We start from the raw sequence: 13294 nt of genomic DNA, 5'->3' as shown, positions 1-13294 counted from the left end.
AGTAATTTGAGACTTGTCCTTTAGATGTCATGCCCTGCTCAGTTCCCATATCCTCTTGATGATTTACCTCCTACACATTTCATGGACCTTGTCTACTTTTCTCTTTTCCCAGAGCCACCACCCTAATCTTAACTACCATCACCTGCCACCTCCCCTCTTACTGGTCTCTTTTAGATGCTTTGCCTCCTTCAAGTTCAAATCACCAACTTACTTGAATATGTACAAGAGTAAAATTATTCTAAGACAACAAAAAAAAAAAAAAAAAAAGGAGAGAAGCAGGCAGTGTTATCCCATGGCAATTTATTCTCCACTCTACACCCAGAATCTACACAAATAGTCCAAGTGGCTCCCCTTCTTCAGATGCTTCCGTGACTTCCTTCCCATTGGCCCTGGATAATGCTGGGAATCTAGTGATGGCCCTTTATGAATCGTCTGACTTGGCTACCTACTCCAGTCAATTTCCCCATCATTTTCCCTCTTGCCCTTCACAACCGACCTTCTACCAGTTTTTTGAATGTGCCTAACTCATGCGAACTCAGGGCATCCCTATGAGCTATTTCCACTCACTAGAATGCCCACCTCCCATCCACACATCCTTCAGGTCTCAGCTTAAATGTCTTGTGTTCTGGAAGGCTTTCCTCAAGTACCTCCCAACCCACCCAGCCCTACACAAGGTTAGGTCCCTATGTTTTATGTTCTGTTTAGCATTCTGTACTTCTCCTTCATAACACTTATTACAACTATAATTAGTTAATCATTGGGGTATATGCTTAATGTGTGTACCTTCCATCTGGTCTGTTAACCACTGAATCCCTTAAGACTAGCACAGTATTTTCCAAACGCTTAAAATTGTGATCCACAATAAAAAATAAAGTTTACTTCATAACCAATACACACAGATAGATACATAATTAGAAAAAAAGTTTCATAAATAGTATTACCCCTTTCTTTTTTGTTTTTTGGTTTTTTTGTTTGTATTTTTTTTGAGACAGTGTCTCGCTCTGTCACCCAGGTTGGAGTGCAGTGGCCCGATCTCTGCTCACTGCAAGCTCCGCCTCCCAGGTTCGCGCCATTCTCCTGCCTCAGCCTCCCGAGTAGCTGGGATTACAGGCACCCACCACCACGCCCAGCTAATTTTTTGTATTTTTAGTAGAGACAAGGTTTCACCGTGTTAGCCAGGATGGTCTTGATCTCCTGACCTGGTGATCCGCCTGCCTCGGCCTCCCAAAGTGCTGGGATTACAGGCATGAGCCACCGCGCCTGGCCAGTATTACCCTTTCTAGATGCAATTCACTTGATATTTTCTGTTCTATTTTAATATGTTAGATACAACCCACTTTATTGATTTTATAGCCTACTAATAGACTCAAATCTCATTTTAAGTAATCACCTTTCTAATGCAACACTTAGCAGAGAGAAGTTTCTCAGTAATTGTTTGTAGAATAAAGTAATAGAAAATTCACATTTACCAGCCACTATCTAAACTGGTTTATTTTTACAAAGTAAAGGCAAATCTTGCCATCCTGGGTACAGTTAGCTCTCTTGATTAGACTGATGAGATCAAGGTCATAAATTTGATCTCATTCTGATGGATTGGTTTCTCTGTCCCAGGGCCAGAGACTTTCTCTCTAAGTACCCCTCAGAAAAAGAAAGGCTGATCCATTGTTTTTATTTTTATTCCTGATCAGTGTATTCCTATCCTTGTAACAAAATGGTTTAAAAAACAAAAGCAATAAAAATAGAAAGCAATAACCTAATAATTCATTACTACCAAATTCATTACTACCACTGGCTGTTAGGAGTAATATATGAATTGTCCTACGGAAATCATCAGATTTTGGGTTAATGCGATTGTAGTCCTGCCCTGTTGAATGCCAGGATCCATCAAATAAGCAACTGACATGTTTTTAATAACTGGTTACAATAGACTGAATGTTTGTGTTTCTCCTAAAATTAATATGTTGAAACCCTAACCCCCAATGTGATGGTATTTGGAAATAGGTCCTTTTGGAAGTAATTATGGTTAGAGTAGGTCATGAGGCTAGGTCCCTCATGACCCTCAGGACCTAGGTCCCTCATTTTAAAAATAGGTGCCCTTATTTTTAAAAAGGAGAAGACATGAGATCTCTCTTTCTGCATGCATGCACCAAGGAAGGCCATGTAAGGACATAACCAAAAAGAGGGTCCTGCTGGCACCCTGATTTTGGATTTCCAGCCTCCAGAACGATGAGAAACAAGTGTTTGTTGTTGAAGCTACCCACTGTATGGTTTTCTTTTTGTTTTCTTTTGTTTTGTTTTTAGATGAAGTCTCACTCTGTTGCCCAGGCTGGAGTGCAGTGGCATGATCTTGGCTCACTGCGAACTCCACCTCCCGGGTTCAAGTGATTCCCCTGCCTCCGCCTCCCAAGTAGCTGAGACCACAGGTGTGCACCACCATGCCCAGCTAATTTTTTTGTATTTTAGTAGGGATGGGGTTTCGCCATGTTGGACAGGATGGTCTCAATCTCCTTACCTTGTGATCCACCTGCCTCAGCCTCCCAAAGTGCTGGGATTACAGGCATGAGCCACCACACCCAGCCTTGTATGGTATTTTATTATAGTAACCTGAATGGACTGAGACTCTAGTTAATATCGTTCCTTTTACCTGTTGTGTTTTGGTGTTTCCATCAGATGCCTAAAAATCCTAGCTTTCCTTTCTTCATCTCCACTTATCACCATCTAAGCCCCTATCACAAAAAACAATAAAAGAAACCCTCTCAAAACTGTCCATCTTACAACATCAACAGTTCTTTATTGGACTGGGCAAACTCAAAGAATTCCCCACTCAATTGGGAACCATGCAACCCCAGACTGAGCTTTCACTAGGAAACCATCAGGGCTACTTTGTGAGGGAATCCCTTCCCAAGAAGGAAGTAGAGGGATGTGTCCCTCATTCAGCTATCTAGCTGGGTGGGGCATAAATGCTTTCTCTAGGTCTAACATCAGGGGAGCAATTCTGGGGTAAAACAATTGTTCCTGGGGTGTTTTTGTTAAACTCTATCATCCATTGCTATGGGAAAATGGTAAATCATTTCATGTTTGAGAACTGAAATAATTCCATGTTTGAGAACTAAAAACTGTAAGCAGAACTAGCATTCCAACAGTATCTTTTATCTCTTCTCTTACATATTCATAGATGTGCTTAATTGATGGATCTTCCTTTGCGTCTATATTATAGAAGGATTGCTTGTTTTGTGCTTTTCTATAGACAAAAATGCTCTCTTAATAGTTGGTTCCTAGAAAATTAGACTCCTTTTACTAGAACTAAAGGCAAGTAGGGGTATCCTCTAATTCTAGTTTTGGAATGTGTGGTTTCCAAGCTCTTAAACCAAAATTTACTCAAAATTAGGAAGGTTTTGGTTCTTCTTCCTTTTTTAAATGTGGGCTTTATTACCCTTAGGGATTTCTTCTGTAGACTACAGCTCTTACCAGAGAACTCAGAGTATAATGTTTGTATTTCTGAAAGCACCATTTCTCTATTTTTCAAGAAACTCAGTTACCACTGAGATTTCAGGCAATGAACAATAGCATCAGCTATCATATAACCCCAGTATGTAGCTGATTATTGTGCTTCTCACACAGTGGCCTCCTCTTAAAATCTAAATGAGCAGCTTGTATACAAAGAAGTATGCTTTCCCCAACCTGATCTGGCCTAAATCTATCTACTTTGTTATATAAATGCTTTGTGTATTTTCTGTTTGTAAGCCAGCATTTATCTACGTACTTGACCTAAAACTCCACACTTTACTCCATGTAATATAGTGATATAAAAAGTGTAAAACAAAGAAATATTCTCCTAAATTACCTTAGCTATAATATCACTTTGACATAGTAAAAAACAAAGGAAGTAACATAAAGGAAAGCTTAGGTATCCAATTGCAGTGAGTTTTTACTTTTTAAATATATCGTATAAGCCAATAAAATATCTTCAAAATAATATTTACCCCAACATTTTTACAACATTTATTTTAATTTTATAAACAAATAACAAAGATAGTTTTAGTAGATTATATCTGGGCTGTAGTGACCCAATTATCTGGTCAAAGGGCTGCATGGATGCAAGAGACAGGGTGAGTTAAAGTTTAACTCCCAGGAATTGTAAACCAAACCTAAAGCCACTGAACCTTTGGAGTTTGATATGACGATTAGAGCATAACCCGAGTGACACGTTGAATTCGCCATAATCAAGGAAACCTTTTCCGGGTGGGGATCTCTGAAATTACTCAGGTATGATCCATGTGTTTTGCTTTTTTCTATTTCAACTCTGTGAAACTGTGTATTGTGGTATCAGTGGGAATGCAGTGAAAACAGCTTTTACCCTCTTCTGTTATCGAGCCTAATTCAAAGAATTATCTAGCTTGTTTTTAGACTAATGAAACAACCAGAAAACAAAAGAATATATTGGAATTATTATATAATCTCTAAATGAGATAGCTGCCAGGATTTAATAAATTTCTGTAGACTTACCACGGAGGGTTCAAGAGTGGAGCCAATGTTGTGAGAAGTTTATTTAGCTCTAACCAGACAGCAGGGAGAGTTGTGGTTGAGTGCCTGTCCCAATCCTAGGACCCTGAGAAACAAAAATATAATTAACAAAAGAAATAGTATTAACATCACCAGCAGATTTTGAGTTCTGTGTGTGGGTCATAATTCCTATCATACTTTAGACTTCATATATTCAATTATCTCCAGAGCTACTACCACCATAAAAAAGAAAGTCTTGGTACAACTCTTGCGATTCCGCCTGCCATTATCTTGCTAACCAAAGGAATGTTTAAACTATTCACTTTTGATTCTGACCAAAAAAATATTATGGAAAATGACTGGTTTTCAGTGTGTTAAATCTGAACCTTGGAATGGCTAATTATTATATTGTTTCCACAATTTGGGCAACTGTGCTGAGGTGGATATATTTTCACATATTTTTTTTGTGTACTCCAAAAACATTATAATGGTATTTTAGCTAAAGAAAGAAATCAATCTGGACATTTACCAAAAATATCCCATTTTTACCAGAAACCCCCTAAACTCTCTGACTTTTTGTCATGATTACCTATGTAAATTCCAAGAAGAAAGGATTCCAAACTAAACAATTTTATTTACTATAGGACTTTTCAGATATGTATTGTATATCTCCAAGAAGATGAAGAACACAGCATTATTTGCACATTGTGCAGGATTAGTGTTTTATAGATCGTATTTTGGCAAATTCAGCTCTAGTTATAGTTTAGGAGCATCAAAAAATGTGTTGGTCTGCTCTGAAATTTTCTTTATAACGTGTGCTATGGAGCATGCAATGGGAGCACAGGTCTGGAAATGACAGTGATATCACTTATTTGTCAAAGCAGTAAGGTTTTGCCCTGCTAAATACAGAGAAAGAGACAAATGACTTATAAGGTTCATACTTTCTGGAATAACATTGACTCTGCCCATTTCAGACAACTCTTAACATTTTACTGTTCTATTTTACTATTTATCGATTTCAAGGGAAAAAAGAAGACAGCTGGCAAGGAAAAGAAATATTGTTGTGGGCAAACATTATAAAATGACATAATGGATATTAAAACACTATAAATACTTTGTTCTTATTTTCTACTGCACTAATGCCAAGGTGGTTTTATGTCATTTCAAATATCAACATTTCCTACACTATATTCAGTGGATGTTAATAAATGTGGCTCAAAAGAAAAGCAACTCCATTGTCAAGTAAGTTGAGGAAACAGTGTTAGAAAAGTTATAGCAGGTTTTGTTACCACATGAGTGTTTTGAGTAATAATGATAACAAGCATCTGTGAAGCACTATATTATCGGGTCTACTTCTAAGTTCTCTCCATGCATTATCTCATGTTATTCTTGGAACAACTCTATGGTGTGATACTATTATAACAGTTTATAAATGGGAAAATGGAGGCACAGACAAATTACCTAACAGGCTCAGCTACTCAGTTAGCAAGTGGCAGAGCCAGGCTCCTTTGTCTGGTAGTCTGATCCAGAGCCCAAGCACGTAACCATTATATCATACGCTCGAGCACTGGGGACTCATGACACATGCAAATATTGTCATTTATCACAACTATCTAAGAGAGTAGGCAACGTTTTGTTTCCTGGGCTTAATTTACAACAGAACATCTTCTTTCAGGAACATCTATCAATATCTCTCAAAATTGGCATTTCTCAGAATACAGAACAAGAAAGACCAAATCGCTTTTATAGCCCATGTCCAGCATTCAGAACAATCAGAATCCATTGAAATAATCACAGTTGAAAAATCTAAAGGACTTTAGAGTCTAGTCTTCCACCAAATAGGACTATGCCTATCTGAGAAACTTTTAAAATTAATTACGGAAAGAACACTAGGCTTTGTGCCTCGACACAGCTAAGTGGAAACGCCTATTGTAAAACTCCCTAGGTTTGTGACCTTGGGCATATTGTTTGACTCCACTGAATCTCAGATTCCTCAAATGTGAAATGGGGGTAAGATCTGACCCATAGTATTTTGTGAAGTTTAAATTAGATGATAAAGCAAAGGAGAGAAATGTGGTCCCCGGTACTTAAGAATTCAGCAAAAACCCCACTTCCCTTTTCATTTTCCTATTTGTAACAACCTCCAGAAAAATTTTCTAAAATTGCCCAAGTATACCTATTAGGCCTTGTTTTTCAAAACAATACTAATAAAGTTGAAATCACAAACTGTACATAAAAAATTTTGATTAATCACAAATAGTAGCACTATTCCATTTATTCAGAGAAAGACAGTCTGTAAATTTTTTTAGTATTAAAGCACACACACAGAGTATATTTTTATTTTAGAGATTATTGCTGAAGAAAACTCTTAGTTATAAAACCCCAACACCTTTTCACCCAAACCCATGGGACACCCTGACACAGTGCATGCTCATTTCATCATGGAGGCAGTTGATGTTAAAAATCTGTTTCAGTAACTGTCTTTTAAAAATTGTCATCCCTTAGAAAGCTGAGTAGTACTGTGGGTACTATTGCACAATGGTTTTCATTACCTTATGTGTCTCTAAAATGACTCAATAAGTTCAAACAAGACAGTATTGATCGACAGAGGATAAACACCATTTTATCTTATTCACAGAAACAGTAACCAGGCTCCTGCAAAGTGCAGCTCTCACAATCCAACTGCCCCCAGGAAAAGCATCTGGAAAAGGAGCAGCACTCTTGCGGTGACATTCTGTATTAGAAATCTGTATCCCATCTGCTCCTTGGCCTGATCCTGTAAAATCTGGAGAGTTATTAACAAATGTTTGCTGCTGATTCAACCAGGAAAGCTAGTTCATCATTTCATTTCATCAAATCTACTCCAACTAGGTTATCAGTTTTTTGTTGTTGATGATGGTTTGTTTGTATGAGATGGAGTATCGTTCTGTTGCCTAGGCTGGAGTGGTGGTGCAATCTCAGCTCATCACAACCTCCACCTCCTGGATTCAAGTGATTCTTGTGCCTCAGCCTCCCGAGTAGCTGGGATTACAGGCACACGCCACCATGCCAGGCTAACTTTTGTATTTTTAGTAGAGACGGGGTTTCATTATGTTGGCTAGGCTGGTCTCGAACTCCTGAACTCATGATCTGCCTGCCTCAGCCTCCCAAAGTGCTGGGATTACAGGCATGAGCCAACATGCCCGGTCTAGGTTATCAGTTTTAATGACCACTTAGAATTTTTAATTTAATAAACTAAAATTTTGTATTGAATATTTTTGATTGATGCAATCCAAAAATTAAAACATGCCCTTTTGTAAAAAATCATCGTCCTGTATAAGATATGCTGGTATCTTGAGAGCTCTAATTTGATTTCTTTTAAACATATGTAAGCTAAGATTTTTATCCTATATAGATTTATATGTGGAGTTTTATGCATATATGTATTAACAATCACATGGAGAACATTTTCCAAGTTTGTTTATTCAATAGGAATTGGTCCCTGGTAATATTAAGAGAGAAATACTAATAAGGATGTAAGATAAATCCTTCTGATTTGCACAGTTAAGTGCAATGCTCTGCTCCAGATGTAATATGACTAAAGAGAATTAACACATGACAATTTAGGCAGACAGAATGTCTAAGTGAGCAGATTGGTTTATAATTCTATAAAATCCCACCTGCAGTAGTGATGTAGTGATGCCTTCCCTCCCTCCAGCAATTAAAAACTATTCATTGTTTTAGGATGCCCAATTGATTTAAAAATCACTAGGTTTAAGTAGTAGAACTAACTACAATATCTTATTTCCATAGGATATTCTAGTTTATAAAGCTTTTCATATACAAGAACTTATAAAGATTTTTAATGGCAAATTTCTTATAGTTGATGTCAATTCAGTATGCCTAGTTTCTTCAAGGTAACTGTGTCAATATTCACCATTCCAATTGTACAAATCTGATTAACTGAAAGATGCTCCCACCTATCGTTTATAAGCCCAACTCTGTTTATGTAACACAATGATGTCCAACTTCACTGGACATTAACTAATGTACCTATCAGTTAAGAGGCTAGATGAGGCCGGGCGCAGTGGCTCACGCCTGTAATTCGAACACTATGGGAGGCCAAGGCAGGCAGATCACCTGAGGTCAGGAGTTCAAGACCAGTCTGGCTAACATGACGAAACCCCACCTCCAGAAAAATACAAAAATTAGCCAGGCATGGTGGTGGGTACCTGTAATCCCAGCTACCCAGGAGGCTGAGGCGGGAAAATCACTTGAACCCAGGAGGCGAAGGTTGCAGTGAGCCGAGATCGCACCATTGCACTCCAGCCTAGGCGACAGAGTGAGACTCCACCTCAAAAAAAAAAAAAGAGTCTAAATGAAAACAGTGAAGAGAGGACATAAAGGTCCATGTGGAAGGTGAGAGAAGAACCACCCCCATATGGGACCTAGAAGAAAACAGCCCTAAAAAGATGTAATTATAACTCAGTCCAGATGCTGTGACTAACACAGTGAAAGATATAAAGGAACAGAGGTTTATAAAATCTCCTACCTGCCTGGCAGGGGACTGGCAAAACATTGTGCACAAATGAAATTTTTTATTTCTATTGATTTTAGTATTCTATCCAGCTCTTCTACTGGGATTCTGCTTAGTGCTTATCTTTCCATCTGGGGCCTTCAGCATGAACTAAAATGTACTTTAAATTATTAGATGTAATTAAACTCTAATGCCTCTGATTATTTGAAATGGAAGTCAGAAATCAAAATCAGGTTCCATGGGGGGAAAACTGTGTTGGCACATATAGATGTTCATCTCAGGAATCCTCTTTCTAACCTTCTTTTCCGAAGATCCCTAAGAGTTCCTCGCCATTCATGTACTTACTACCAACTAATTATAATTGGCACCCTACGATGATGATAACAATGATGTTAATAAAATCTCTTACATCCTCTTACATCCTGCCACATGCCAGGCACATAGGTTAACTCATTTAATCCTCCATCACTCTATGGAATGGGTACTATTGCTACGCCATTTTTCCAATAAAGCAGCTACAGCTTAGGGACACAGAGAAATTTGCCCCAGGTCACACCACTAATAAGTGGTGCAGGAGTGAGTCCGGGCAGTCTGGCACAGGCCACCCTGTGAACAAAGGACAAATGGAACACTGGGAAGCATCAAGGCTTAGAACTGAAGAAAACTTTTGAGATCCTTTATTTGACAGAGAAAAGCAAGTTGGGTTCCCCAGCTTGGGTTTTTGTTAGAATGAGAACCCAAGAGCAGAACCTGAACCCTCTGTGGATACTTTTCCATTATACCACTTCCCACTGTAAAGCATTTCTAATTCAGCCTGATTCTCTGTGAAAATTCTGAGAGACGAATTAATAGAATCCCTATAGTTAAACAGGAATACTCCCTTCACTCCAAGTCTCACCTTCCTTGCTGTGCCCAGACTCATGGACTGACCTAGCCAGAGACTCAGTTAAAGGAGACCCATTTTGTGACTTGGAGAGACTGACAGGCCCACATCACAGAGGAAATACATGCAGACACAGACATGGATATGGTTTAGCTTTTTGTCCCCACCCAAATCTCATCTTGAATTGTAATCCTTAGGCCTGAAGGAAAGAATCTGGTGAGAAGTGATAGGATTATGGGGGTGGTTTCCCCCATGCTGTTTTCATGATAATGAGTGAATTCTCATGAGACCTGGTGGTTTTATAAGTGTTTGACTTTTCCTTCTGTACACACTACTTCTCTCCCCTGCTGTCACATAAGAAGGCCTAAGCTTGCTTCCCCTTTGCCTTCCACCATGATTGTGAGTTTCCTGAGGCCTCCCCAGCCATGCAGAACTGTGAGTCAATTAAACCTCTTTCTTTATAAATTACCCAGTCTCAGGTATTTCTTTGTAGCAGTATGAGAACAGACTAATACAGGCACCATGAACATAGTGACAGGATAAACCATGGAGGCATTGATAAAAATAAAAAGTAATTGTGATGAATGACTTGGTTGCAATTACACTCAAATTCTGTTAGTGTCTGAAGAGGACATAGCACCTCCTACCTGGAGGACATACCCTTTTCCCCATGGAAAAAATAATTGGGCTGCTAGGTCTGTGTCTGCTAAGGGAGTCCCATATTTAAACTGACCTAATTCAGAACTTTAAATTGAGACTCAGATGCTCCCAAATAGCAGCTCCACCAACCTGAATAGAGTTACTCATTTAGAATAAGAGTTTGTTCCCACAAGTTTTGTTAAAATACAAATTAGTTGGGATGCGGGGTGTGAGTGATAGGGACTAAAATCGCTTAACAGACTAGCCTGGCAAAGCCCTGTGGGAAGCAAGTTTTGATGATAGGGAAGAGAAGATGTCAAGAGCAGATGGTCCAGGGAGGAAGTGTCACAAGTAACTTGGGGGTGATATAAGGGACTTGAGTAGCAGGTATTTGTCTGATCTTTAAGGAATTAACTTATTAAAGAATTTTGTTAGTAAAGTCATTTGAGTATCACACTTGCAACATACTAATTCATCCATGTCTAGTTTTCTCATTAAATCACAGATATTTAACAGGTGCATTAACTTGAATTGACATCATGCAGCAAATGCCATTATATGGACCCTTAAGATATTTTAAGAGAAAAACCTATAATGCCTGGAAACTCTTAGTTTTCTCTGACATTTAAAAACAAGCCGTAAAATCAAATCCTTTCTATAATAATTTAGTAACTCAGAATTGCAAAGGATTTCCTAAAGCCCAATGATCCAAAGCTCTGACCTGTGATGTTGGCATAGCAGAGTGGGAGACAAATCATATGTTAAAGCAGAAGGCTCTGGATCTGGAATGCTTGGATACAAATTCTGGCTCTACCACTTGCTACAATTTAACTCTAGGCAAATTACTGAACTCTGTGACTATTTCCTCTTCTGTAAAGTCAGGGTTGTTTCAATAATTAGATCAGAAATTGTAAAGTGCTTAGAATAATACCAAGCAAGTGTGCATAAACTTTAGCCATTTAGCTATAACTCTCATCATATTTCTGTGTTGATTACAAAATGCTTTACTAGAGGAAAATAGATGAGAAAGAGGCCATGAGGTAAAAATGTACAGTGCTTTTTAAAGTAGAATGAGGTGGCTTAGAAATTAATTCTATCCCCATCACTGGCTTGTAGTAGAAATTTGAAACAGTCTCTCCCTGATTCTCTGGCAGTTTTTCTCTTTTTTTCTTTTTTTTCTTTTTGAGATGGAGTCTCACTCTGTCACCCAGGCTGGAGTGTAGTAGCGTGATCTCAGCTCACTGCAACCTCCGCTTCCCGGGTTCAAGCGATTCTCCTGCCTCAGCCTCCTGAGTAGCTGGGACTACAAGCATGTGCCACCACAACTGGCTAATTTTTTGTATTTTTGGTAGAGACAGGGTTTCACCTTGTTAGCCAGGATGGTCTCGATCTCCTGACCTCGTGATCCTCCTGCCTCAGCCTCCCAAAGTGGGGGGATTACAGGCGTGAGCCACGGCGCCCGGCCCTCTTTCAGTTTTTTCTAAGACAGAGACACTCCCTATCACAGACAGGGTCTTCTAAATTAGTAGAGAATGATTTGAAGGAAACTGGGTAATTATCAGAGGAAGTAAAAGAGAAATACAGATCCTCACACCAGAATGCAAATCTCTAAGACTTTATTATTTTCATCACTATGAAAGAAAAGATCAGTACTCAAAGCCACTTATGATGATGCATGTAAATTAGCATAAAATCAGAACAAATATAATATGGCTTTTAAAATAGAAACATAAGGCTATCTTTCCTTACAAGTGTCAGATTGCTTCTGTGCCACTGTAACACAGAGCTTTAGATGGATTTTTTAAAGCTTCACTCAGAGATCAAATGTACTCCATTAGTCAGTGATTGGCAGACTTGGTGAAAATTGAGTTTTCAACTTAAATTTCTCCAAATTGGTCTGAGGAAACCAGATGCAGCAACTAAGTTCAGAAGGTCAGAGTCTCAATAAGGTTAAAAAGAGAGGGAGAAACATAACACTAGAAGTATGAATGAATGAAATAGACCACACACAGCTCATCAGGTCTCTATAATATACCACGCAAATAATTGGTACCAGGACTATTGAATAATCAACTGCTTTTAAGCTGAAGAATATCTACATTGTATACCATGATTACCACTTTACCAATTCAAAAGACAACTTAAAAATTAAACATATATACAAAGACATTCTGCTTTTTTCATTAGGCCATGTCATTCTATAATTTCTAAATTCTGTCAACTCTCTTCCCCAGGAATCTTCTAGAAGTCAGGCATTTTGGGAATAGTTGAGTATCATAATTGAATAAAGATAGCACAACAGTCACCTGTAGTAGTCTGATCTTACAGGTACTAGAACAATAACAGCACAAAAACAGAGTTACGTGTATGTATTATTCAGTGTTCTCTAGAAGAAAACATAGTATATGTATATATAGGCAATACATTTATAAATGCATAAAACAAATATAAATTTGTGTAAGTATGCATATAAATATGTAAGTCTACACATATAAATACAAATAAAGAGATTTATTCTATGGGATTGGCTCATGCAATTATAGAAGCAGGAGTCCCAAGATTTGCAGTAAGCAAGCTGGAGATTCAGGGGAGCCCATGCATAGTTCCAGCCCAAGTCCAAAGGCTTGAGACCCAGAAAAGCAATAGTGTAAGTTCCAGTCCAGAAGCCATCAGGTTAGAGACGCAAGAAGAGCCAATATTTCAAGTCCGAAGATCAGGAAAGGCCAATGTCCCTGCTCTGTCATGCAGGCCCA

The 13294-nt window shown here is 38.5% G+C and overlaps 1 protein-coding gene across 14 annotated transcripts in view; it reads left to right on the top strand.

Annotated features, from left to right (window-relative positions):
• Window positions 4220-13294, top strand: part of A1CF (APOBEC1 complementation factor) — an 86219-nt gene continuing 77144 nt past the window's right edge. For all 14 annotated transcript variants that reach the window (XM_011539729.4, NM_001370130.1, NM_001370131.1 and 11 more), the window contains exon 1: window positions 4220-4266. The gene's annotated coding sequence lies outside the window, so the exon portion shown is untranslated. The remainder of the gene's footprint in view (window positions 4267-13294) is intronic.

Source organism: Homo sapiens, chromosome 10, assembly GCF_000001405.40.
Source record: "Homo sapiens chromosome 10, GRCh38.p14 Primary Assembly".
Lineage (NCBI taxonomy): Eukaryota > Metazoa > Chordata > Mammalia > Primates > Hominidae > Homo > Homo sapiens.
This window is presented reverse-complemented; position numbering and strand designations above follow the sequence as displayed.